The sequence below is a fragment of the Homo sapiens genome, chromosome 1 (assembly GCF_000001405.40).
Source record: "Homo sapiens chromosome 1, GRCh38.p14 Primary Assembly".
Taxonomy (NCBI): domain Eukaryota; kingdom Metazoa; phylum Chordata; class Mammalia; order Primates; family Hominidae; genus Homo; species Homo sapiens.
This window is the reverse complement of record NC_000001.11, coordinates 7,652,353-7,677,742: the sequence shown is the minus strand read 5'-3', so window position 1 is coordinate 7,677,742 and position 25,390 is coordinate 7,652,353. Positions and strand designations below refer to the sequence as shown.

General features: G+C 56.1%; 1 protein-coding gene across 33 annotated transcripts in view, besides 4 other annotated features; it reads right to left on the bottom strand.

Annotated features, from left to right (window-relative positions):
- The window catches only part of CAMTA1 (calmodulin binding transcription activator 1), a 984,253-nt gene that overhangs the window by 91,964 nt on the left and 866,899 nt on the right, over nt 1-25,390 (bottom strand). For 24 of the 33 annotated variants that reach the window (XM_011541084.3, XM_011541083.3, NM_015215.4 and 21 more), the window contains 4 exons: nt 15,877-16,017; nt 12,544-14,390; nt 6,706-6,832; nt 10-144 (listed from right to left, as the gene is read on the bottom strand). In XM_011541084.3, coding sequence (XP_011539386.1) covers nt 10-144; nt 6,706-6,832; nt 12,544-14,390; nt 15,877-16,017 — 2,250 coding nt within the window. Of the gene's footprint in view, nt 1-9; nt 145-5,638; nt 5,759-6,705; nt 6,833-7,887; nt 8,014-12,543; nt 14,391-15,876; nt 16,018-25,390 lie in introns of those variants that run through there. The other 9 variants (XM_024454334.1, NM_001349614.1, NM_001349620.1 and 6 more) reach the window with 3 other exon arrangements.
- Nucleotides 7,718-8,564: an enhancer, noted in NCBI's record as "H3K27ac-H3K4me1 hESC enhancer chr1:7729239-7730085 (GRCh37/hg19 assembly coordinates)". NCBI's record gives its function as "activates a minimal SCP1, AML or CMV promoter by ChIP-STARR-seq in naive H9 embryonic stem cells {active_cell/tissue: H9 hESC(naive)}" and the evidence as "EXISTENCE:reporter gene assay evidence [ECO:0000049][PMID:30033119]".
- Nucleotides 9,733-9,922: an enhancer, noted in NCBI's record as "active region_90". NCBI's record gives its function as "activates an Ori minimal core promoter by ATAC-STARR-seq in GM12878 lymphoblastoid cells {active_cell/tissue: GM12878}" and the evidence as "EXISTENCE:reporter gene assay evidence [ECO:0000049][PMID:35858748]".
- Nucleotides 14,033-14,534: an enhancer, noted in NCBI's record as "H3K27ac-H3K4me1 hESC enhancer chr1:7723269-7723770 (GRCh37/hg19 assembly coordinates)". NCBI's record gives its function as "activates a minimal SCP1, AML or CMV promoter by ChIP-STARR-seq in naive H9 embryonic stem cells {active_cell/tissue: H9 hESC(naive)}" and the evidence as "EXISTENCE:reporter gene assay evidence [ECO:0000049][PMID:30033119]".
- Nucleotides 20,235-20,774: an enhancer, noted in NCBI's record as "H3K4me1 hESC enhancer chr1:7717029-7717568 (GRCh37/hg19 assembly coordinates)". NCBI's record gives its function as "activates a minimal SCP1, AML or CMV promoter by ChIP-STARR-seq in primed H9 embryonic stem cells {active_cell/tissue: H9 hESC(primed)}" and the evidence as "EXISTENCE:reporter gene assay evidence [ECO:0000049][PMID:30033119]".

Below are 25,390 nucleotides of genomic sequence, written 5' to 3'. Positions count from 1 at the left end.
TGTTCTTACCGTCCAACGACAGCCAGTCGTGCTGGGAGGAAGGGAGCGTGGGCAGAGCCCGGGCTTTGTACTCAAACACCACCGAGTTGGAGATGATCTGGTTGTTGAAGGCAACTTGTAGGGTCACAAGACCAGTGTCATGGGCTGAAAGCGAGAGAAAAAGACCAGGTCAAGGGATGGGTGGGTACCTACAGCCTGGTGAACCACACAGGGCCTGGAATGTCCCCTCCCCACTACCCTTCATTGGTTAATGTCCAGCTCTCCTTAATGGTAGCCTATGCCTGCTCATTCGAGGCCCAAACACAATGCTGCTTCTAGGAACCTTCTTGGTTCGCCCAGACTCAGCCAGCTGTCCTGTGATCACTCCCAGGTACGTAACTGCCCCTTTGCTTTGTCCTCCGAGTGAGGGCAGGAGCTGGGTGCTCAGTACAGACTGGCTGAACAAGTGAATGAGTGAATGGCCCCCATCCCTGCCTCATGGCTGGCTGACTTCCCCTCTTGTCCCATCCTTCCTGGGTGGGGCTCGGGTACAAAATTTGCTTTGGATTTATTTGCGCTTATTTTGTTTCACCTATTCCTACAAGCTTGTCCTGACTCGATGAACAGCCAGCCATCCCTTGTATTTTTAGTTCTTCTGCTTCCCCGATGAAGGAGCTTCAGATGTGCCTCTGTTACCCTGGCCCCAGCTCAGCCCCAGTGGGTGTTGAGCTGGGGATGCTGATGTGAAGGTTGCACCTCCCTCCAGTGGCCCGACAGTAAGCTCTGGAAGACAGGGCCCTGGCAGGTCTCGTTAACTGCTGTGGCCCCAACACAGGGCTCAACAAATAACTCTATTTGTGGAATAAACGAGGTATGTTCTCACTGTGAGTAAGACGAAGCCAGCCTGCGGTGGAGACCAGCTTCAGCTCTTGGGTTGAGGTTGCCTCTCCATGGCTCATGTTGGCATCTTGGGGGCTGGCCTGTGGCCCACAGAGGTGGCCCGTGGGCAATGGTGGGTGTGCACACTGCCCCGCCAGGCCTCATCCCTGGCAGATGTCTGGGTTCTGTGCCTTCTGCCCTGCTTTTCCGGAATACCAGATACTGATACCCAGGGCCTCCCCAGTACAGACTTCCAGGGAGGACATGCGTGGGGATCACATTACTGTGTGGGCCCTTGGTTTTCAGAAGCTTATAGAGTCGAGGAAGCCGTCCAAGCCAGCCGCTCCCTAGGACAAGCAGAGCTCCATCTTTCCTCCGAGGACTCTGATGCAGATCCCAGTCCCGATGGGAAAACCAGCTCATTGACCGGTGGCCGCTGTCCATCCTGGGTGGATGTGTTAAGGCAGCAGCCATCTTGCCATTGTCCCCAGGGAAGGCCTTCGGGAGTCACTGTCCAAGGGGACCCATGGGTTTTTCCTCTGTGTTTTCCACCCTGGCTGGGAACCTCAGCTCCAGGCCACAACCTGAACCAAAGGACTCCACAGTGGAGGTCACATAGGACCTCCGAGGTGCCTGGGCAGGGAGCCCCGGCCAAGTCCAGAACCTGCTATGGCTCTGTTGGCATCCCTGGGCGGGTCTCCAAGCTTGTGGTCGCATGCCTGCCCTGGAGATTGGCCTGGCTTGCCAACAGGAAGGCAGGTGGCCAGCACCTACACCCATCGGAGCCCGCTCAGGGCTGCTCCTCTTAGCAGCCTCCTTGGGCCAGCCTTGGAGAACTCACGGCTTCTCTGGGACAATGTGTCCCAGCTTGGGGTCGGGGGGGATGGCCTCTTCAACTGCTGCTGCTCTTCCACCATCTTCTGGCAAGTGCACAACCTGCAGCAACGCTGGAATGGTGGCAGACTCCAAGGCATTTCTTCCTTCCCAGAGAGACGGAGCAGAGGGGACCTACTGTGGTCTCCGGGGTCCCAGCCCAGCAGCCCTGCTCCTGCAGTTCCATCACCCAGGAAGCTTCCTGGACTCGCTCTTCCCTTCCCCGCTCATGCAGTCCATCAGCAAGTCCTGGGTCCATCCATTGCTCTCCATCTCCACTGCAGATGCTGTAGTCCATGCCGCCATCATTTGTTGCCTAGACCCCTTCATTAGCCTCCTGTCGAAGGCAACATCAGCGCACCTGAGACCCGCTCCTGCTGGGAGGGTGTCGGGAGGCCCATAATCCAGCACCGGGGGCCACAGCCCAGCACCCCTACAGGAAACCAGGGGGAGTGTGGTGCCCAAGGGAGCCCTTCTCCTTACATCTGGAAAGATCAGCCCTCTGCCTTCTTCCTATGGTCTCCCTGCTTCTGTTCTTCCTCCCTACAACCTAGAATCATCTTTCCCACACACCCAGAATCATCTTTAAAGACATCATTTAGATCAAGCCACTCCCTGCTTAAAGCTAACAGCCTCCCATTGCAAGTAACATCAAACCAAACTCCTTCCTATGATGCAGAAAGATGGACACGATTTATTTTAGTTCCTGCTATCATCTCCAGTCTTACTGTATTCAGCTCCCCGTACCCCACTCACTATCCTGCAGCCAGTGCCTTTCTCAGGCTTTAGATTCTCCACGTTGCCAAACCTCTTTCTGCCCCAGGGCCTTTGCACTTCCCCTACCCTCTACCTGGCCTGGATGCTTCTCCCACTTCCCATGACTGGCTCCATCCCATCATCCAGGTCCCAGTCTGCGAGAGGCCTCTGCTCATCCATGTTCCAGAAGGAACCTCCTTCTTCCCAGGTGACCTTATTACCATATTCTACTGCTGGGATACAGTTTTCACCAGTTATCTTGGTTATTTCTTTTTCTCCTTGTTTGTTTTCTGTCTCCCTGCAGTAGAACATTAGCTCATGAGAGCTGGGACTGGCTCTGTCTTAATCTTCATGCCTAGTGCCAAGGTCAGTGCCCAGGATGTTATGGCGGCTCAGTAACTATTTGTTGAATGAATTGTTTTGAAACCCAATTCTACACCTCATTTGTTGTTTTTGTTTGTTTGTTTGCTTTTTGTTTTTTTGAGACAGAGTCTTACTCTGTCTTCCAGGCTGGAGTGCAGTGGCGTGATCTTGGCTCACTGCAACCTCCACCTGCCAGGTTCAGGTGATTCTCCTGCCTCAGCCTCCCTACTAGCTTACAGGTGCCTGCCACCACGCCCAGCTAATTTTTGTATTTTTAGTAGAGACGGGGTTTCACCATGTCGGTCAGGCTGGTCTCGAACTCCTGACTTCAAGTGATCCGCCCGCCTCGGCCTCCCAACATGCTAGGATTACAGGCATGAGCCACTGTGCCTGGCTTTCATTTTGAATTTCATCTTTTGTGTTCTGGTGACCTCTTAGGAATCCAGAGTAGGGCTCTCTGGCCAGTAGAGTCTTCTTGGTGGATTCCCCTATCTTCTCCCAAGCCTGAGTCGCCTCTTTTCCCCAGCACCTCCTCTCACTCACTGCTGCTCACTGCCCTCAGCTCACTGCCCTAACTTGGTGGGCTCCCTCCTGCCCCTGAAGCACCCTGGAGTCTTGCAGAAGACACACTCAGTGCCTGCGTGTCTCCTGCCACCTGTGACGGTGTGGGAGCTGCCAGGGCAGGACCCTGCTCATCTGTTTTGCTTGGGCAGGTGTGTTGGGAGACGGGTGGGCATTGGCCAACTGTGTTGCCAGTGCCCCCTCCTCCCGTGTCGTTCCTGGCTTGTGCTCATAAGCCTCTGAGCCTCTCTTTTTGGTGAGGCCAGTTTGATTCTGACTTCCAAGTGTTCATCCTTCGAGCTCAGCCTCAGATTCCTCTGGGGAGACCCAAAGATGAGGTCCCCAAGCAGCCAGCGTCATCTCCGGAGCAGTGATTCATTTGCGCACTGCACTCCTCCCTGGACCGAGAGCCCCTTACGATCAGGGGCCCGGTGAGAAGCTGGGTCTTATTGTTTGCTCCATTCCAGGCCCCTACTCTGTGCAGAGCAAGCAGGGGCTACTCAAAAGTTATTTGGCAAATGAAGAAATGAATGAATGAATTAATACATCCAGTGCTGTTTTACAGAGCAATGTGTTCCAATTTGGGCCTCAAAGCAGAGATGTCCAAAGGAGGCCCCCTTTGTGGAGTTAGCTGAAGACAGAGTGCTGGCTCTAGCAGGGGAGTCCCAGCTCTCAGTGTGCCTTGAGCCTTGTGGCTCCTGGTCCCTTGGTCCGAGACACATTATGGCTCATATAATGAGCCTGAACAGCTAGGAGGGTGAGTGGCCTGGGCAGAGACTCTACCTGCCATCTCTGGGGACCCAGAAATGCCCCAGGACCAGGAGAACTGCCTGTTGAGACCCAAACTGCCCTGGTACCCTCTCCGAACTCCCCCTTGGGAAAGGAAGAGCGAAGGCCTCCTTAATGGGAACCCTTCAGGAATGGAGCACTGGGCCAGGTGCTTCACACACCTCCTCTCACTCACTGCTCTCGCCCTGCTGGCAGGCAGTTTTCAGAGCTGTAGAAACTGAGGCCCAGAGAGGTCAGGCACTGAGCTCCAGCAACAGGGATGGTTTCTGGCTGATCTGGGATGGACCCGAGTGTGGCTGACTCCAGCCCCGGGGCCACACAAAGCCCAGCCTTTCTTTTTCTGTAGAGGGGTCAGATAACTGAGAGCAGACCTAAGCAGCCCTGCCCTGGTCCTTAGCCAGGCGAGAACCAGGTACAGGAAGTGGCATCTATTTATAGGCCAGGCAAGTCGCATTCTGGCAGCAGATGATGGGTGCACTGTTTAATTCCACAGTGCCCTCCCCGCCACTCCCGCCGGGCCGGGGTCCCATCAGCTGCACACAGCCCTGAGCTGTGATAGGCAGACCCGGCCTGGCTGCCACCCCGGCTGGCTGTGCTCCAGGCCGAGCAGGGCAGCTAGGTGGGCCTTCTGGAGCCAGGCAGGTGGGGGCTGGGAGGGGAGGGCTGGGCCAGCAGGGGGTGGGGTGGGCACCTTGGGCTGCTGCACTGGCTCCTGGGAACTTTTTGGGGAAGATGGTGCTGGGTTCAAGCAGAGGCGGAGTGTGCAGCCAGCTGTGGAGCAGGGGTTTTCTGCTCTGGTGGCTGCAAGAAGAGCCTGAGAGAGATGGGGCACAGTGGCTCACCCCTGTAATCCCAGCACTTTGGGAGGCCAAGGTGGGCGGATCACTTGCGTCAGGAGTTCGAGACCAGCCTGGCCAACATGGTGAAACTCCATCTCTACTAAAAGTACAAAAATTAGCTGGGTGTGGTGGCACAAGCCTATAGTCCCAGGTACCAGGGAGGCTGAGGCAAGAGAATCACTTGAACCCAGGAAACAGAGGTTGCAGTGAGCCGAGATTGCATCACTGCACTCCAGCCTGGCAAAAGAGTGAGACTCCATCTCAAAACAAAAAAACCAACAAAAAGAAGAGCCTGAGAGAGAAGGAGAAAAGGAGAAATGGGTGGTGGGACTCAGCTGGCCCAGCCTGGGGGCATGGTTCAAGGGTGGGGTGGTGGTGGCAGACAGCTGGGGCAGCCAAGGCTCAGGCTGGACCACCTTGGGTGGAACCTAGAAACACCCTGGGGCCTGCCTAGCACTGGCCAGCTCTGTACTCCCACCCCGTACCTTTCCTCCTCACCCCCAGTCTTCTACACTGAGCATCTTCTCTCCTTTCTAGGCTCCCTGACGTTAGAGGACAGGGGTGGGTCTCCCTGCCGTTCCGCACCCCTGCATCCTTACCCCCCTCCTGTTTATGGTCAGGGCTCACTGGACAGGCCATCCTGAGGGCTGGTGGTGATGAGATGGGGCAGCCAAGGGAGTCCTGCCAGCAACAGCCCAGGAGCAGAAGACATGAGCTCTAGAAACAGGCTTCAGATGCCTGGAGACTCATTCATTCCGTCACAATCTCCATCCCCCTCTGTGACATGTCCGGCACTCTGCCAGCCCCGGGGATACTATGGTGATCAAGAAGATAGTCCCTGACCCCATGGGACAGGCGAGTGGGGAAGCAGTGATGGCCAGAGATCAATGACAAGTTGACCAGACAGGGACACCGTGCTAAGCAGATAATGCTGGAGCCTGGGGAAGGGCTTCAGAGGCACAGGGACAGCACAGAGGCTGTCCCAAGGGTTTCTTGGGGGATTTTTGAGCCCCTGAAATTGGAAGCAAATTATATGCACCTTTTCTGGGCACAGGGTAGATGGCTCTGTTTTACATTCTCAAAGGCATTTGTGCTGATTATTGTTAGATTGACCTCCCATCACCACCCCATCTCCCTCCGCCCCTGCCAGGCTTTCTCCAGCCTTCTGCCCCCTGCCCAGGGCCCTCGGGAGGATGGAGCCTGTGTGTGGGCTGCATTGCCTGGGCTCTCCTGGCTTCTGGTTGGCTTGGGCCATGGGAGGCACGGGCAGGTGCAGAGAGGCCGCCTTGCTGCAGAGGTGGTCTCTGGCCCCAGCTCTTACCAGCTCTAGTCACCCTTTGGGCTGAGGGTGGTGGCCGCTTCCCACTGTGGCCAGTCCTGGATACATCGCCTGGGCCTGGCTTATTCCTGCCCTAAATCGTGCTCTCATCACATTCGCTTCAAAATCCCAGTCAAGCGTGCCTGTGTCCCTGTCCTATATTAGGTCCCTGAGCCAAAGGAGGTGACGTTCTAATAGACTATCGGGGATCCGCTTCTTCACAGCCGAGGAAACTGAGGCCTAGAGTAAGGACATGACCTGCTCAAGGTCACCCCAAGGCCAACTCCGAGTCCAGTGCTCCTCAGGCCATCACACTCACCTTGGGGGCCTGGGGGGCGGCTTTCTCACCTGGGCAGTAGCAGCGCAGCACCCCAGGCTGAATCAGGGATGCAGGCACTGAGATCTGGTCAAACAGGCAGCTGTAGTTATTGCTGGCTTCTTGCCACGGGCCTGTGATGAGGACCTTCACTCCTCCCTGCAGAGAACAGAGAGGGGAACAGAGTTGGAGTGTGAGCCACTGTGGGAGGCAGCATGGGGAAGCCCCCCTGAGGCTTCACTGCTCAGATGGGGGTCTGTACCCCTCGCCCCATGCAGATTCCCAGGCCCTCACTCCAGGGATTGCAGTGAGCCCCGACTTCTGAGAACCACAGCTCCAGGACTACAGCAAGAGGAGAGCCCAAGGCGCTCCTTCCCCAGCCCCTCAGGAAGCCCCAGGACCGGCAGCTCCAACCCCTGACCTTCTCCCTTTTGTGTAACTCGCAGATCCAGGCAGGAGGGAGTGCAGAGTTTTGCAAACCCTTTCAGCCTACGATGCCCCTGAGAAATGGCCTGGAAGGAAGCCGAGGGCAGGGAGGGGACTTGCTCCGTCATTCACTTGTGGACAGACTGAGGGAACTCCAAGTTTTGAAAACAGGCCTGAGCATCTCCGTGTCAGCCCAGGGACCAGAAGTTCTTGTAGGGAGTTGAGGAGAGACCCAGGATCCCCAGGCTGTGGGGATGGCAAGGTGAGGGGCTGGAGCAGGACGGGCTGAAGAGCCCGATGAAGAAACAGAGGAGCTAAAGGAGCTAAGTGAAGGAGACGCTCAGAGACTGCCCTGGGAGCTGAGTTTGGGGCTCAGAGCTTGGGGCTGGGAGTGGAACGGGGCTGAGCATCTGCCCCCTCCCCCAACCCTGTGCTATCAAAGGTCCTTGAGTCTGTGTCACTGCCTACACAGCTAGCCTGGGGTCCCACAAGCAAGCAGTGACCATGCAGCCTGGCTGGGAGCAGCCTCGAATGACCTTCCTCAGCTCCAGGGGGGAGGACCCCACCCTCAGGAACCTCCCAGGGCGCCCAGGGGCAGGAGAGCATCGGAAGGGCTGGGGTACTCCCTGACTCCCCGTTCCGACCAGCCTGGGGCTGCTGCAGAAAGTGGAGGAGGAGGGTGGCCTCATGTCCGGGGCCCGGGCAGTCCTGCTTCATGGCCATTGTCCTGCTTAGTGATGAGAGAGGGAGGTGCGAGGTGGACGGCACCTTGGAGGTCCCCTACTTACGGCTTAGCCGAGGAGAGGGGCTGGTCACTGAGTAGAGGGAGGCTCTCCCTGGGGATGAGGAAGGTAGGGGTGCCGGCCTCCCGGACTCTCCTGGCTAACCTTGGGTGGACCCACCCCAGAGGCGCCATCCACCCCACCCCCAAACCAGTAAACACCTTTCCCTGCAGTGGGGCGGAGAGCTGCTAGGTCAGGGCGGAGAGCACCACCTAGTGTCCAGGCTGGAGAAGGCCGCCAGGCAGGCTGGAGCCTGGGAGGTGGGGGTGAGGAGCTGCTGTGAGCCCACCTTCCCCACTGCTCCAGGCCAGAGAAGTGATTCCCTACCCCCCAACTCCGTGCCAACCAGATGCTCCCTACTGGTCAGTCACTCATTCTTGCTTGGCCTCTCCTGGGCCCTGGCCCACCCCTGCCCTGGAGGAAGCCCCGGCCTCTACAAGGAGCCTGCCCTAGGCGCCCCACAATGTTCCTGGAACCCAGGCCTGGCCCAGGGCATCTGCAGCAGGAGTGAGTGTTTCCAGGGATGAGGTGGAAGTAGCTCCTCCCATTGCCCAGCCAGGAAAAGAGACTTCTTCCACGGAAGGGGCTCTCCCAGGCTGGAAAGCATATTCCACCCCTGCTCTTGCATGAGCCTGGCTCTGGCCTGGGAGGTCACTTTACTGCTACGGCAGCAGAGAGAGCTCAGGACCGAGAAACAAAAGCAGGAGGCCTGCTCCTGCGCCTCAGTAGCTGTGTGTCCTCAGGCAAGTGGCCCAGCCTCTCTGGGTGGCATCTCCTTGCTAGGGGCCCTTCTGACCACAGCATCCCTTGTTCTGATGCCCAGGGATATTTGCAGCTCCGTGGAAGTGGCGGGGCATTGGGGGGAGTGGGTGCCTGGCTGAGAAGAGTGCCGGCGGACAGGTGGAGCCTGACTTTGGGATGTCTGGAAGCACCAGAAGGCCAGCTCAGGGCACCATCCCCCAGGATCCTGGGAAGTGGAAGAGCAGTGACTTCAAAAGGCCACAGACAGTTACCATGTGAGAAAAAGGGAAAAAATAATAACCGCAATCAACAGCTGCTAGCATGAGGCTGGGGCTGCTGCCGGGAACAAAGAACTGCAGAAATTACTGGAGAACATCAGGACCTTCTCCATGGAAACCGCCGCAGGACAGCTCAGCATCCATCCATTCAAGGGATGGTTCCCATGGCAACAGCCCGCCTGGCTGCGCTGAACTGGTGGTGACGCGCGTGCCTGAGGCTGTAATTGCAGGCTCTTCTGCTGCTGCAGCAGGAGTGTCAGTGGTGGGAGATGACGCAGGAGGGTTTTGGGGGTGGGGAGGGGGCACGAAATGCCATCTGAGGTCTCTGAGTCCTGAGATAAAGGGCCCATGTCTGATGCAGCCAGGGCAGATGCTGGGGCATAGGGGGACGCCTCTGGGGTGTGTGGTGGGTGTGTGTGTGTGTGTGTGTGTGTGTGTGTGTGTGTGTGTGTGTTGGTGACCAGCTGCAGCTGGAGGTGAAGGGGTGGACAGAGATAGGAGAAATGGGAGCAGCCTGTGGGAGGGAGGGCCACTCAGAGAAGAGACAGCAGGATGGCCCCGGCCATCGCATTCCTGCTAGGTAGATGCATTGAGGTTTAGAGCTGGGTGGGGGTGCTGAGTAACCGTTTAGCCAAACCCCATTTTGCAGACTGGGAAGTAGGGCCCAGGCCGACGAGCCTGCCTGTAGAGCCCTCCCTGAGCTTGGCAGAACCTGGCCAGATTGGACTCCTGATGCAGTCAGTGCACAGACAGGCTGGCAGGGAGGGGACAGGACGAGGGCCAGACAAAGGGAGAGAAGTGTCAAGAGAGAAGGTGCTCTCTCCTGTAGAACCCAGGATGGGGGCACCCCTGCTGTGGTGTGGAGACAGTGGCCTGGGTAGGAGAGGACAGCAAGGAGGAAGGGGCCCTTCACAACCTCTGAGGCCTCACTGTGTGGCCAGGTGGGGCCCCAAAGGGCCTAGCTGGGTGGCTTATGCGCATTTTCCAAATCAAGCTGAATTTCAGCAGCTTTTGGTTGTGGGTAACTGGAAGCATTGAGGGCTTCTGGAAAAGCAAGGCTGGCCGCTCCCTCTGCTGGGCTGCCAGGCTGCCAGGCTGCCATTGCGTTCCTGTTCCTGGGCCGCCCTCGTGTGGCGAGCTGCTGAACTGCAGGCCCAGAAAGGACAGAAGGAGTCAGGCCTGCTAATGTCCCACTCGCCAGGACACCCAGGAGGCTGGGGTGTGGGTCTGCACCCAGCCCAGGGCCTGTCTGACAGGCCAGGACCTCGGGAAAAGAGGGGACCCTCCTCCCACCTCCTGGCTTCTGCAAGACATTAAGGGCTCCAGGGCGCCTCTAAGTGTCCCGAGGACCAAATCTCCCAGGTCCTAGGACTGGGAGTGCCTCGAGGCCACCCCCTCTCAGCCATTTACACGTAAGGAAACTGAGCCCCAGAGAGTCAGGTCTCAAGGAGCCAGGACCAGAAGACAGCTCTGACCGTCCCCCCGCACCCTGATCCTGGCCTCCTCCCTGTCCCTTTGCATCGCTTTCTTAAGCCCAGGGTCAGGGGGCACGGGGAAGATGCCCAACTGGCCTTCATGGGGTGGGGTGGGGGGTGTGGTGGGCACTCCGAAGGTGCCATTGAGCTCAGAGTCACTGATAAGATTAGGAGGTCAGGGCCGGGTGTGGTGGCTCATGCCCGAAATCCCAGCACTTTGGGAGGCTGAGGTGGGCGGATCACTGGAGGCCAGGAGGTCAAGACCAGCCTGGGAAACATGGTGAAACCCCGTCTCTACTAAAAATACAAAAATTAGCTGGATGCAGCAGGGTGTGTCTGTAACCCCAGCTACTCGGCAGGCTGAGGCAGGAGAATCGCTTGAACCTGGGAGGCGGAGGTTTCAGTGAGCCGAGATGGCGCCATTGCACTCCAGCCTGGGCAAAAAGAGTGAAATTCCTTCTCAAAAACAAAACAAAACAAAACAAAACAAAACAACAACAGCAGGGGGGTCAGAAACACGGTCACACCAACCTATACCAAGAGGAAGCCCAGTCTGATCCTTCCGGGCTCTTCCTATCGGGGATGGGAGAGCTGGGGGTGTCTGTACACAGATTTTCTTAGCTTTGCCAGCGGGGAAGAAGGGTGAGGAAGTATGAGCCCCCTTCTTTGGTGTTCTCCAGCCGAGTGGGCCGTGGGCAGCCACCTCCCAGGCAGTGTCCAATCAGGGCCCGTGGTGCATGTGCTGGTCCCTGAGCACCCAGATGGGCTGGGTAGAGGTCAGGATGCACGTGCTTGTCTGCACTAGGTTATTTAGGGAAAGCCTGGGCCACTCTGTCCCCTTCCTGTGCTATTCTGCTCTACAGAAAAAGCAGAGATTCCTCTACTGCTTGTGTCCCTCAGGCAAGATGCTTTGGTCTTTGGAGTAGTGGTTCTCAAAGTCAGATCCCCGGGAGCTGAGGCGGCCTGGGGGCTGGGGGAGGGTGCACGTTGGAATCCTGCGTCCTATGACCTGTGTGGAATTTTGCAGAAGGCCAGGTTTACTTAAGAAGGATCTTCAGGATGACTCTTCAGAAGCTGTGCCCTGTTCAGTTTTGAGAGAGATTTTTGGTTTTTGGTTTTGTTTGGCTTAGAGAAGTAGGGTGAAGGCAGTGGATGTAGACGATCTATGATGGTGACTTTTTCTTTCTTTTTTTTTTTTTTAAGACAGTTTCATTCTTGTCGCCCAGGCTGGAGTGCAGTGGCGTGATCTCGACTCACTGCAACCTCCACCTCCCGGGTTCAAGCGATTCTCCTGCCTCAGCCTCCCGAGTAGCTGGGATTACAGGCACGTGCCACTACGCCCAGTTAATTTTTTGTATTTTTAGTAGAGACGGGGTTTCACCATGTTGGCCAGGCTAGTCTCGAACTCCTGACCTCAGGTGATCCACCCACCTTGGCCTCCCAAAGTGCTGGGATTATGGGCATGAGCCACTGAGCCCGGCCAATGGTGACTTTTGAATTTTTTTAAGCAACCCTGGGACCCCTTTTCAAAAAAAAAGCAAAGCAAAACATAGATGGACTCAACACATAAATTGAGAAACGGCAGACGACTCTGGCTGGAGCTGGGGGAGCATTTTGCTTCCAAGGATACCCTGACTTTCTCTCTTTTTTTTTGAGACAGGGTTTCACTCTGTCATCCGGACTGGAGTGCAGTGGTACAACCACAGCTCACTGCAGCCTCAACCTCTTGGGCTCAAGTGCTCCTCCGGACTCAGCCTCCAGAATAGCTGGGACCATAGGCAGGCCCCACCACACCTGGCTTATTTTTTTAATATTTTGTTGAAACCAGTTCTCACTACGTTGCCCAGGTTGGTTTGGAACTCCTTGGCTCAGATGATCCTCCTGCCTCGGCCTCCCAAAGTTCTGGGATTACAGGTTTGAGCCATGGCACCCGGCCAAAGACCCCCTGACTTTAAAGCTACTTGCCCCAGTGAAGTTTGAGAACCACTGCGTGAAAGACGGAGGTGTTCAAGCGCCGTGGGGACACAAGGAGGGGAAAGCATCATCTTTGTGGTCCAGAGCTTCCTCTGAAGGGCAGCCACAGGCATCCCTTAGCTGCAGGGTGGCGCAGGGGCTGGCGAGGTGGGTGGGAGGGGAGGTGACAGGTGGTGGCAGCGGCGGCAGCTTACCTCTGGGTAAGACCACTCTGGGGAGTAGTCGGTCACCATGAACACCCGTCCGCTCTGCTGCAGCATGCCTAGGGTGCCCTGGGCCGAGGCGGCCGAGACCACCTCGGCGACGTGCATGTAGGCCATGGTGCTGGCCCCGCCCTCCGAGCTGCTCAGCTGCAGGCTACCCTGCTGGGGGCTACAGCAGGGGAGGCACATCTCTGCCTGGGTGAAGGGGGCCCGCGCCCCGTCCTCTGACTGTGAGAGCGCCGTGCTGTCCCCCGACACCAGCTGGTGCCCATAGATGGTGCTGCTGCCCCCCTCCACGGAGATGAAGTCGTTGATCAGGTCGGAGAACTGGTTGCTGAAGGAGATGTCAAAGTGGTCCAGGCTGAGCTCCATGTTGGAGGCGTTGCCGAGGCTGGGCTGGGCCACGGGGTAGAGTCCCTGCACCACGTTGCCCGGGAGGATGGGGACGCCGCCGGCGCTTCGGATTACCCCGTTGGTCTCCGGCTGCAGGTAGTGCTCAGAGCTGCAAGCCTGCAGCTCCCCAGACTTGAGCAGGACCTCGCTCCCTTCCGCCGCCTGCGAGGTCTCCATGGTGACCTCCCCTTCTGCCGTCATGGCCTGGAAGTTGGCCTGGAACTGCATGAGGTGGAGGGAGGAAGTGGACTCGATCCGCGTCTCCACGTGACCGCTGCAGGAGCTGGTTTGGGACGAGGCCTCCGTTTTCACCGTGGGCATCACGAAGGTGCCCCCAGAGTCACTCAGGCTGCTGTGGGTGTTCTGCTCGACGGGGAGGGGTTTGCTGGCGTCCTGCAGGAAGAAGCTCGGGGAGGGGGTCTGGTGGATGTGGGGGCTGTGGCCCGTCTGGCTGAAGCTGGACGTGTAGTCCTTGTTGGAGTCGATGGCGCTGAAGTCCATCTGCTCCAGGGTGGTGCTGGGACTCAGGCCGCCGCCCGACGGCAGGAGGCTGGAGCCGGCGGTCAGGGTGAGGGAGCTGGCTGCCACAGCCGCCGCGGAGGAGGAGTACGCTTCTTTGGCCATCTGCTGCTCGAAGGAGGTGTCCTCGGTCTTGATCTCCTTGGTGAGGACGGTGGTAAAGCTGAAGCTCCGCTCCCCGGGTGGCGAGTGCCGGATGTTGGAGCTGACCATCTCGGCTTTCAGGCCTCCACCCCCGTACGTCTGGCCCTGCTTTGGGTTATTAAGGAAACAGTCGGGGTCAAAGTTCATGGTGGTTTCTGGAATCTTCCGGCCACCGTCGAGGGTGGTGGAGAGGACCAGCTCTTCGGACACGTTGGTGGGCAGCATGGACAGGCTCTCCGAGCTGCCCGTGGTGGGAAAGGCGAACTTGTGGCCATCAGAGCTCACGGCCAGGACGAGGCCCTGAGAGGCGTCAGGTGAGAGGAGGTGGTGGTTGGGGCCAGCGGTGGGGGACATGGTGTACACGGCCTCATTGGTGACCTCTGACATGAACACCGTGGCGCTCTGGGACAAGCTCCCCATCACAGAGGCCACCGCCATACCGGACACACCTGTGACCACCGGGCTGTCCACCATGTCCGGGTCGCTGTTGAGCCCGCTGCTGATGGACACAGGGGAGCTCTGGGTGGTGTCGGGGACTTCCACCTGGTTGGTGGAGGAGACCTCGGTGCTGCTCTGGTGCAGGAGCACGGGCTTGGCCACCTTGCCGTTCCTCTTCTCACGGCTGGAGCCCTTGCTGTGGCTGTGCTCGTGCTTGCCCTCCGACACGTCATTGTGCTGCACCTCCGAGTGGCTCCCGTACCCCCCTGTCCGTGGCTCCACCTTGGGCGAGATGATGCGGTGTTTGGCGCTGTTACACTTGTGATGCACGCTGCCGCCAGCTCCTGCGGAGATCGGAACACAACACGCGCACGCACACGCAGGCACACATGTGCACACACACATGCACACACAAAAGAGAGTCAGAGCTAGGACCGTGGTGGACCTGCCCCACAGCGGCTGGGGTCCCTGGCAAAGTCCAGGCCCGGTACCCCAGGCAGGCCACAGACTCTCAGCCCTTGGACACGTACCCCAAGCCCGGGGGCCGTCCCACGCCCCTTTGACCCTCCTCCAAAGATCAGAGGGGCTTTGGCCTTGATGCTCTTTTCAAATAGGAAGCATATGGGAAGTTGGGAAGGAGAAGGTGGAGAGAATGTCAACACCCAGGAAAGTCCCCTCCGCCATCAGAGACAGATACCACTCATCTGGAAGGGCTTTTGCTGGCAAGAGGGGATCAGCCTGGTGAGAGTGGCTACGTTCGTATCCTGCCCCACCTCCCCTCCCCAACTTCCCACAGCTGCTCAGGCCATGCCCCAGTGAGGAGCCACCCCTGGGGCCTGGCAACCAGAGGTCAATGGGGAGGTGATGGAAATGCAGTCTCGGGACCAGCTCTCAGGCCCCAGGACCAAAGAGGGTTCTCGACCCTGCTCCAGAGGCGGAAAGGTACCTAAGCCCAGGCCTACCCTCAGCTCTCTGGGGTACAAAAATCCTTCTAGGTCCTAAGTAGGGACAGAGCCCTTGCTCCTCATTTCAGACGTACAAGCCTCAGGAGCCGAACGTTTCTGAGCTTGGCAAAGCCTCCCTGGCAGCTCCTCCAGCCCCGGCAGCCAGGACGGCTTTTCTCTCCCTCCCATTGGATATTTTCACCATTTTCATTTCATCTGATAAGGGTCACTTTACTTTTGATGAAAGGGCAAATTCTCCCTGATCCTGTTATGGCCTCACCACCAAGACTCCTCAATGCACCAAGACTGCGTAGAGAAGTGACACGACCCTCTAATGGGACTATCTAATTAAGTCAGCCTGGGGAGTGGAGAACACACATTTCAAAGAGCAAATACCATTATCAGAAAAACAGACACATTAGGAAGGAGAGCGCGGGACGCTTCATGTTCTTGGAGGAGACAGAGGTTAAAGAAAGAGGTTGCGCCTGCGTGGTGTCACTGACGCAGGGCACGTCTCCCTCAAGACCCCAGTGCCCTCTGGCAGAGGATGCCCAAGAGTGTGGGCCTGAACAGAGAGGCCCCGAGCCCCAGAGCTCCTCGCTTCCCCAACTCTGCTGCCCCCAGTTCTTGCCCCACGGAGGAAGCTGTCCCTCTGGACACTGCTCCCTCCTGCCCAGAGCGGACTGCCAGCCAGTTGCAGGGCAGGACGAGGCGGAAGGCCTGCCTTGTGTCTGTGCTGGGTGCGGTGGTGTCGCCCAGTCCCTGACTGTCCCCCTCCTCCCTCACTAGATGTCATGGCTACTCCCACAGAGGACAGCCATGACGGCTGCCTGGTAGGGCCCCTCTGTCCCCGTGGCGCCCGCCTGCCCCGGGAGCCCCGGCTCACCCAGGCTGCCGGTGCAGAGGCAGTTGTGGGTCCGCGGCTGGGGCTTGGTCTGGTGGCTGTCGAGGATCTGCTGCACCAGCTGTTCCACCGAGAAGCCTGAGCTGCTGTTCCCATTGCTGCAGGTCCACTTGATGCCATGGACTGTGAAGAGAGAGGCAGGGGGGCTGTCAGAGCCCGTGGGTGCAGAGGGGACCTGGGTGGGGCCAAGGGGTAGGACCCAGGCCCTCCCTGAGGGCAGCCCTCTCACTGCTGGGGAGCTGGCTCCTGGGGCGAATTGATGAGTAGGGGAGGAGGAGGGGAAGGGAGGCCAGGCTGCCCCCGCCAGACCCCCTGCTCCCATCGGGGGTTCTGAGCTCTTTAGCTCCCCCTCACTATGGTGCAGCCCAGGGAGTGGACCGCATAGAGTTCTGCTTTTGTTTCCCTAAAGTCAGAGTGCACGAGGCGGCTCTTCCAGGGGTGCTGGAATGGAAGAGAAAGGGAACAAGGACAGAAGGAGAGTGGACAGGAGGCTGAGGGACTTCCCAGCCTGTGAGCTTCTTGTGGAGACTCAGGATAGAGGTGGTGGACCAACAAGCACCGAGCCGGGAGGACCAATGCCTCTCCCAGGAGTGTGTGGGGAGGTGGCCCCACCCTGGGGGGTAAGACTCTGGCTTCCTGCCCTCACCAGACTTCTTTGCCCCAAAGGGAGTGCAGATGCAGGAGAGGCCAGGGGAGATGGGGACGGGACTGAAGGGCCCACGTGGCCTGGACATCAGGTAGCTCAGTGCCCAGTGCTGACTGATGGCAGCCATCTGAACAGCCACCCCGGGAGCTGGGCTCAACCTTCCTCCCTGCACTTTTGCAGTTCCTGGAGTTGGGATTGGGGTTTCCCCACCTGCCTGGCAGGATGGGGGCTGGAAGTCTAAACCGACTTTTCCAGCAGAGCAGTTTTCTCAGCTGGAGCAGACCCGGCCAAGGGGTCGCTAAGTCCTGAGTCCGGCACATGGAGCAATCCAGCTGTCTCTAGTGGGGCCAGGCTCAGAGGCAGTGGATTCGCAGCTTTGGGGCTGGAGCTGGTGCTGGGGATCCAGGCGCGGAGGAGCCGGGCACAGGGTCGAGATACGGAGAGGTCAGTGGCTTTATCGATACAAGAGCAATGTCCTTCCTCCTTTGGCTGAAGCTCCTCTCCCACCAGCTCCAGGGGGACAGCCGCTAACCCTCGCAGCACTGGCCCCAGTTCTGTGAAGGGCTCTAGAAGGTAGGGGGACAAGGAGAGCGTCGACATGGCAGGTAGGAGCTGGCTCGGTTCAGACATGGATTTGAGTCCAAGTTTTACTTATTTATTTTTTTTGAAACAGGTGTCACTCTGTTGCTCAGGCTGGAGTGCTGTGGTATAAACACGACTCACTGTAGACTCGGCCTCGTGGGTTCAAGTGATCCTCCCGCCTCAGCCTCCTGAGTAGCTGGGACTATAGGCATGTGTCACTACACTTGGATATTTAAAAAAAAATTATTTGTAGAGGCCAGGCGCAGTGGCTCACACCTATAATCCTAATACTTTGGAAGGCCAAAGTGGGCGGATCACCTGAGGTCAGGAGTTTGAGACCAGCCTGACCAACATGGTGAAACCCGTCTCTACCAAAAATACAAAATTAGCTGGGCGTGGTGGCACATGCCTGTAATCCCAGCTACCTGGGGGGCTGAGGCAAAAGAATCGTCTGGGAGGCAGAGGTTGCAGTGAGCCGAGATTGCACCATTGCACTCCAGCCTGGGGAATGAGAGCAAAACTCTGTCTCAAAACAAAACAAAACAAAATTATTTGTAGAGACAAGGATCTCACTATGTTACCCAGGCTGGTTTGGAACTCATGGCCTCCCAAAGTGCTGATATTATAGGTGTGTACCTGGTCTGAGTCTAGGTTTTGATCTTGCTGTGTGGATTTGGGCAAGTCACTTAGCCTCTCTGAGCCTCAGTTTCCTCACTTGTAAAGTGGGCATATAGTAGTTCCTGCCTGGAGAACTGGCCAGGAGAAAACACGATCTACGTGCCTGGCACTTTGTGCATACCCAAAAAAAGGGTAGCTGTTGTCATAACATCACTAGTGATGATGGTGATGACAGTAATGACTGTGACACCCAGCAGGCAGTGCTGGCCCTGCCTGGGGCCTGGCCGATGCTATGGGGACTGGGCTTGTGGCAGGAAGCTTCTTGCTGTGAAATCCACAGATGGCTCAGCCCCGGAACACTGCGGGTAGATCTCTGTGGTGGCCATTCATCTCAAGCCTCTGTTCCTGGGTGTAGAGCTCTCCCTTTAATTATAACTCTGATGGTTTTTCTTTTCTTCTTCTTTTTTTTGAGACAGAGTCTCGCTCTGTTGCCCAGGCTGGAGTGCAGTGGCACGATCTCGGTTCACTGCAACCTCTGCCTCCTGAGTTCAAGCGATTCTTCTGCCTCAGCCTCCTGAATAGCTGGGATTACAGGCGCCTGCCACCGGGCCTGGCTAATTTTTGTATTTTTAGTAGAGATGGGGTTTCACCATATTGGCCAGGCTGGTCTTGAACTCCTGACCTTGTGATCCACCCCCCTTTGGCCTCCCAAAGTGCTGGGATTACAGGCGTGAGCCACCACGCCCAGCCTCTGATAGTTTTTCAAAGGAAATCACCCATGTGTGAGGCTTGGGATCTGGCAGGAATACCTTCAGGGTGCTGCTTTCCTTCTCTGTGTGTGCTGTCGCCTGACCCGGGTGTCCGCTCCCTTTCCTTCCCCTCTGCTTCACTCTGAAGAGGCTCCTCTGAGGTCTGCAGCACCCTCTGCCTCCTGCATCTTCACTTATTCTCAGGGGGCCTGGGATTCTGGTGGGTCACTAAGGGGGATGGGTGGGGCTGAGTGGCACCTGTTTGCCAAGCCGCCATGTTCAGAACTTGTGATCGGCGAACATGTGATAGGCGCAGGCAGGCAGGTGGCAGCATTGACAGCCCACTTTTCTTCAGGTGGACAGTGCTTTCATCTTGGGCTCCCTGGAGGAATTCTCCAGCATCCCCCTAAGCACCTTGTCCCTGACAGCTGGAGGGAAGGCCCGGGTCAGGGGCTTTTTAAACCTCATCATAGCTATGGGACCCTTTTCTTAAATAAACCTCTACCAAGAAATTCAATACAGAAGACAGATTACTGCAGAAAGGACCTGGTGGAGGCAAGATGAGGGGTCACAGGCTCTCTGGCCTGTCCCTATGCCCAGGGCACTCCTTGGCTTACAGACATTTCCAGACTCATTTTACAGATAAGAAAACAGAGGCTCAGGAGGGGAGGTGACAGCCCAAATCACATTCCAGAGGCCACAGGGCAGGATTTGAGACTCTCCTCTGTACCGCTGCACAGGCAGTGGTCTGTTCCAGCTGTGGGTCCCCTACTCTGGCTGTACCCAGGCCCTAGATAGGAGATTCTGATGTCATTGGTCTGGGGTGGTGCCAGGTATTTTTTTTAGAGCTCTGCAGAGGCTCCTCACGTGCCGTTAGGATGGGAGAACACGCAGCTCTGTCTCACATGCTGTTAGGATGGGAGAACACGCAGCTCTGTCCTAAGCTTAAACTCAGCAGGGAACTGCAAGTCCAAGAGCAGAAAGCCCTGCAGAGCTCATCACGGGAGCCTCTCCCTGTGGGAACTCGGAGCAGGTGCCCCTTGCCAAGCCAGGCCACATGTTCTCTGGGAAGATCCCTGCTGAATTTGAACTTGGCTGTCTGTGGAGATGAGCTGTTTTCAGGGCAGCCCCACCTCTGGCTTCGGCCTTCAGGCTACACCCCACTTGAGGGTCTTGGGTCTTGGCACAGTGAGGCTTTTGAATCCCCTGGCTGGCAGAGTCTCCTGGCATTTCAGATCAGGGTCCCCTCTGCTCTGACAACCGCCGATCAGGCCAGGTTTCTCCTCCAGTCCTGATGGGGGTGCGGCAGCCGCATTCTCTCTGCCTCTTGTTCTCCTCCTTATGTTGTGAAGGTTATAAAATGAAGACCCAGTGAAGGGTGACAGATTGCAAGCAGAGAGTTTCTAGATGCTTAATGCAAATTACCTACTGTCTTGGCACATCCAATATGCAGATTGTCTCCCTCCTTGCTCTGGTGTTGGGGGTGGGTGGGTGGAGAAAAGCCCCTCCTCTGAGGTGGTGAGTTGTTAGCACTGAATATCAAATAGTATCAAGACGGCTTTTAACATGTCATGCTCTGCTTCCCAACACGGAATGAATCAGTGGGAAGGGAGATTTCTATAGGGAAAAAGCGCTTTATGAAAGGAAGGTTAATAGCCACGCATGCCGGCCGCCCCCTCGGCCCCTTCCCCTTTTTAAAGCAGCAAAAGGGAAACCGCGTTAAAAGTACACTTGATCACGTGACCTCCCATGACATGTAAGGTCATGACATGTCTTGTAAGGGAGGAGGCACAGAAAGAGGAATTCCCAGAAAGGTAATGTCCTGGTGGCTCTGGGTCACATCTGTCCCCTCCTGCTCACTGTACCTCACCGGGCGGTACCTGACTCCCCGTTCTCAGGCAGAATGGCCTGAGCTGAATCCCAGACAGAGGGACCCTCTCTGCAGCTCCCCATAGTTGGAGCCTTGGTGGTGGTCCCTGGTCTGCTCAGGTGGTGGAGAGAGACCTGTATCCCTAGGAAGGCTGGGTCAGGGGAAGTACCAGAGAGAAGAAAGGGCTGGCATGGGGTGGGATAAGCCAGACCCCAGCATGGGGCTCCACAAGACAGGGGCAGGCAGGATGGTCACACTGGCCACTGGGAAGCAGGATGCTGGCTCCTCGAAAGGTGTCCTCCTACAGCTACCCGAGAAGCCCTGCGGCTGCCCCGTGAAACACAGGCCGGGGACTGCATTCTCGCGGACAGGGCTGCCTGCAGCGCGGCCTGTGTGAGGATCGGCTTGCAGAGCCGAGGCTGGGAGTGGCCGTCGCAGGAACCCAGGGCCCACTCCAATGCTGACCTAGCCCTCGTACAAGATGTTTACCCTAATTATGGCCCCTGGCAAGGCAGCAGCGCTTCCACTAATATGAATAATCAAAATGAAATCAATGACAACAGCGTGTGGCCCATGCTTTGGAGAGCATCTTCTGATGAACAATTTACCCAAGAGGCGGCCAACCGCTGGGAAAAGAGTAATTGAGATCTAGAAGAGAGGGCTGGGGGAAGGCGTGGGGGCTTCACCCCACATGGGGCAGGCTGCCAGCCGAGAGCCTCTTGGGTTGCAGCTGCTCCATCCCATGCCCTTGGGAAGCGGCGGAGAGCTTCAGCTACACAGGCTAAGCCTGAGCCACGGTAGGGCCGTCCTATTTTCCTCTGTCATGAACTGAATTGTGTCCCCCACCAAATCCATAGGTTGAAGCCCTAACCACCAATGTGACTGTATTTGGAAACAGACTTTTAAGGAGGTAATTACGGTTAAGTGAGGTCACATGGGTGGGACCCTATCCCAGCAGGACTGGTGTCCTTATAAGTAGAGGAGGAGACACCAGGAGTGCCTATGCCTAGATAGATGGTTATATGAGGAAGCAGTGAGAAGGTGGCTGTCTGCAACCCAGGAAGAGAGGCCCTACCAGAAACCAACCCCAATGTCCCCTTAATCTTGGACTTCCAGCCTGCAGACTGTGAGACGATCAATTTCTGTTGTTTAAGCCGCCAGTCTGTGGCACACTGTGAGGGCAGTGTTTTAGTCTTCGTCTTTTTTGTGCTGCTACAACAGAATACCACAGACTGGGAAATTCATAAAGAACACAAGTGTATTGGCTTATAGTTTTGGAGGCTGGGAAGTCCAATATCAAGCTGCCAGTGCCTGGTGAGGGCCTTCTTGCTAGGTCATTGCATGGTGGAAGGGCGAAGAAAAAGAATCCATTCCCAGAAACCCTAAGTAAAGCAGTTTAATCCCTCCCATGGGGCCCCACCTCCAGACACAGTTGCACTGGGAATTCAATTTCAACATGAGTTTCGGAGGAAAACATTCAAACCACAGCAGGCTAAATAACACACCCCGCATGGGGGCTCAGGCCTCCCCCATCCTCAGGCTCTGTGGCTAAAGGTCCACACCAACCCTGCTCTATGCACTGCACACGTGTGTGTGTACAGGTGCGCGTGTATAGGTGTTTGTACATATAGGTGTGTGTATAGGTGTGGGTGTATCGGTGTATGTGTATATAGATGTGTGTATAGGTGTGTGTGTATAGGTGTGTATCAGTGTGTGTGCATAGGTGTGTGGGTGTGTAGTGTGTGTATAGGTGTGTGTATAGGTGTGTGGGTGTGTATAGGTGTGTGTATAGGGGTGTTTGTGTGTGTAGGTGGGTGTGTTTGTGTGTATAGGTGTGCATATCAGTGTGTATGTGTGTGGGTGTGTACATAGGTGTGTGTATGTGTGTTGTATAGGTGTGTGTTTGTATAGGTGGGTGTGTTTGTGTATAGGTATGTGTGTATAGGTTGTGTATGTGGATAGGTGTGTGTGTATAGGTGGGTGTATTTGTGTGCATACGTGTGTGTGTATAGGTGGGTGTGTTTGTTTAAGGGTGTGTGTATAGGTGGGTTTGTGTGTATAGGTGTGTATAACGGTGTGTGTGTATAGGTGTGTGTGTGTATAACGGTGTGTATAGGTGGGTCTGTGTGTATAGGTGTGTGTGTATAGGTGTGTGTGTGTATAGATGGGTGTGTTTGTGTGTATAGGGGTGTGTGTTTGTGTATAGGTGTGTGTGGGTGTGTATAGGTGTGTGTATAGGTGGGTTTGTGTGTATAGAGGTGTGTGTATAGGTGTGTGTATAGGTGTGTGTGTATAGGTGGGTGTGTGTGTATAGGTGGGTGTGTTTGTATAGGTGTGTGTATAGGTGGGTGTGTTTGTGTATATAGGGGTGTGTGTATAGGTGTGTGTGGGTGTGTGTATAGGTGTGTGTGTATAGGTGGGTGTGTTTGTGTGTGTATAGGTGTGTGCTTGTGTGTGTATAGATGGGTGTGTTTGTGGGTGTATAGATGTATTTGTGTGTATAGATGTGTGTGTATAGGTGGGTATGTGTACAGGTGGGTGTGTTCGTGTGTATAGGGGTGTGTGTGGTGTGTGTGGGTGTGTGTATAGGTGTGTGGGTATAGGTGTGTGTTTAGGTGGGTGTGTTTGTATATGTGTGTGTATAGGTGTGTGGGTGTGTGTATAGGTGGGTGTGTTTGTGTGTATAGGGGTGTTTGTGTGCATGGAGTGTGTGTATAGGTGTGTGTGTATAGGTGTGTGCTTGTGTGTGTATAGATGGGTGTGTTTGTGTGTATAGGAGTGTGTGTGTATAGCTGTGTGTATGTATAGGTGTGTGTGTATAGGTGTGTGCCGGTGTGTGTATAGATGGGTGTGTTTGTGTGTATAGGAGTGTATGTGTGTATAGGTGTGTGTATGTATAGGGGTGTGTGTGTGTACAGTTCAAGGGGTTCTGACATCAGGGGCTTTCCAGAATGCCTCTCTCCTCTACCACTTTATTTTTAATATATTTATTTATTTATTTTTTGAGACAGGGTCTCACTCTGTCACCCAGGCTGGAGTGCAGTGGTGCAATCTGAGCTCACTGCAACCTCCGACCCTTGGGTTCAAGCAATTCTCATGCCTCAGCCTCCTGAGTAGCTGGACTACAGGTGTGCGCCACCACGCCTGGCTAAGTTTTGTATTTTTAGTAGAGACAGGGTTTCAGCATGGTGGTCAGGCTGGTCTTGAACTCCTGACCTCAAGTGATACACCCACCTCGGCCTCCTGAAGTGCAGGGATTACAGGTGTGAGCCACCACGCCTAGCCCTTCTACCACTTTAAATGCCACCCTTCTTTCCAGCACAGCCCAGCTCAAGCCCCCGCCTCTGGCTCATTCTCAGGCCCTCCCCAAACCCACCGAATCACAGACTCAGGATGGGGCCCAGCACCTGTGTCCTAAGGGGCCCTCGTGGGAATTCAAATGCATGCTCCAGTTTGAGAACTATGGGTATAGAAATCACAATAGCCTTCCTGGCTGCTCATGCCTGTCCCTAGGAGCTGGAGTTTGGATCCTGAGGGCAGGCCTTGCCAAGCTGTTCACTGCTCATCTCCCATCCTCAGAACAATGCCTGGCACATAGTAGATGCTTAATAAAGGCTGGTAGAGTGAATGAGTGAATGGCCAATTTCTCAATCATGCCCTCCCTAGCACTTTTTTTTTTAATTGGTTCATCATTTCCCTCAGTGAGCTATAAGCAGAGCTCATGTCTCAGTAATAACAACAAAAACAATGATAGTTATTGGACATATCCTCCATGCCAGGCAGTATGTGAGCATCTTCATATGTTGACTCCAAAAAGAAAAAAAGAACAAGGCCAGGTGTGGTGGCTCATGCCAGCACTTTGGGAGGCTGGGGAGGGTGGATCACTTGAGCCCAGGAGTTTGAGACCAGCCTTGGCAAAATGGCGAGACCCAGTCTCTACAAAAAATAAAAACATTAGTCTGGTGTGGTGGTGGGCACCTGTAATCCCAGCTACATGGGAGGCGGAGGCAGGAGGATCACCTGAGCCCAGGGAGGTCGAGGCTACAGTGAGCTGTGATCGGGCCACTGCACTCCAGCCTGGGTGACAGAGTGAGGCCCTGTCTCAAAAAAAGAAGGGGAAAAAAATAATAACAATACTATGTACTCCACTGAGCCTCTGCTGTGGGCAGGGCACGGGGCCAGACACTCTCCTGTGGAGCAGTGGTTCTCAAAGTGTGGCCCCCGCAGCACTAGAATCACCTGACACTTGTTAGAAACGCACATTCTCAGGCCCCGCCCCAACCTGCAGAATTAGAAACGCTGGGGTTTGGGGCCCAGCATCCACGTCCTAATAGGCCTTCGAGGCACACTCAAGTTTGAGAAGCTCAGGTCTAGAGATGACATCTTTAACCTCCCAGTGATCCCTTGAGGCAGAATATATTATCCCATTTTATTAATGCCAAAACCGAGACTCAGAGAAGTTATGTAACTTGCCCAAGGTCACACAGCAGGTGCGTAGGGGGTGAGGAGGGGCTGCAGATTCAAGCTCTTTCCACTGGGCGACCTGCCTGGCTTTCAGCTCTGCCAGGACCAGCTCCTAGGAGGAGGTGAGGAAGACTGGACAGCAGCTCGGTGGTGGGCAGAGGAGAAAAGCGACCCCATCTGGAGGTAGAGGGTGCTGGCCGTGAGCAGCAAGACTCACTTCACTTCCTGGAGGGAAGTCTGGTTTCCCTCGGCCCCTTCACCAGGGGCTGGTGACTGTGCAGGAAACTCAGGGTCCTGGTGCTGGACCACATGCTGTCATCCCAAGCTGATGCCCAGCTTCGTCTCCTGCCCTCCCTGACTTCGCAGATGCTGGGCTGTCTCAGAGGGGCCAGGCCTTGCTGGCTGGGGCCTTAGTGGGCAGAAGCTCCCGAGTCCCTGGCTCCCCACTTGGGATTTCCTCACTTCGGGGTCAGGTCAGCTGTCACTCATCTGGCCAAGCCACCCAGACCAGGGCAGAAGAAACTCGTCCTTGAGCCTCCCACGGGAGGAACTGGGAGGCAGGGCCTG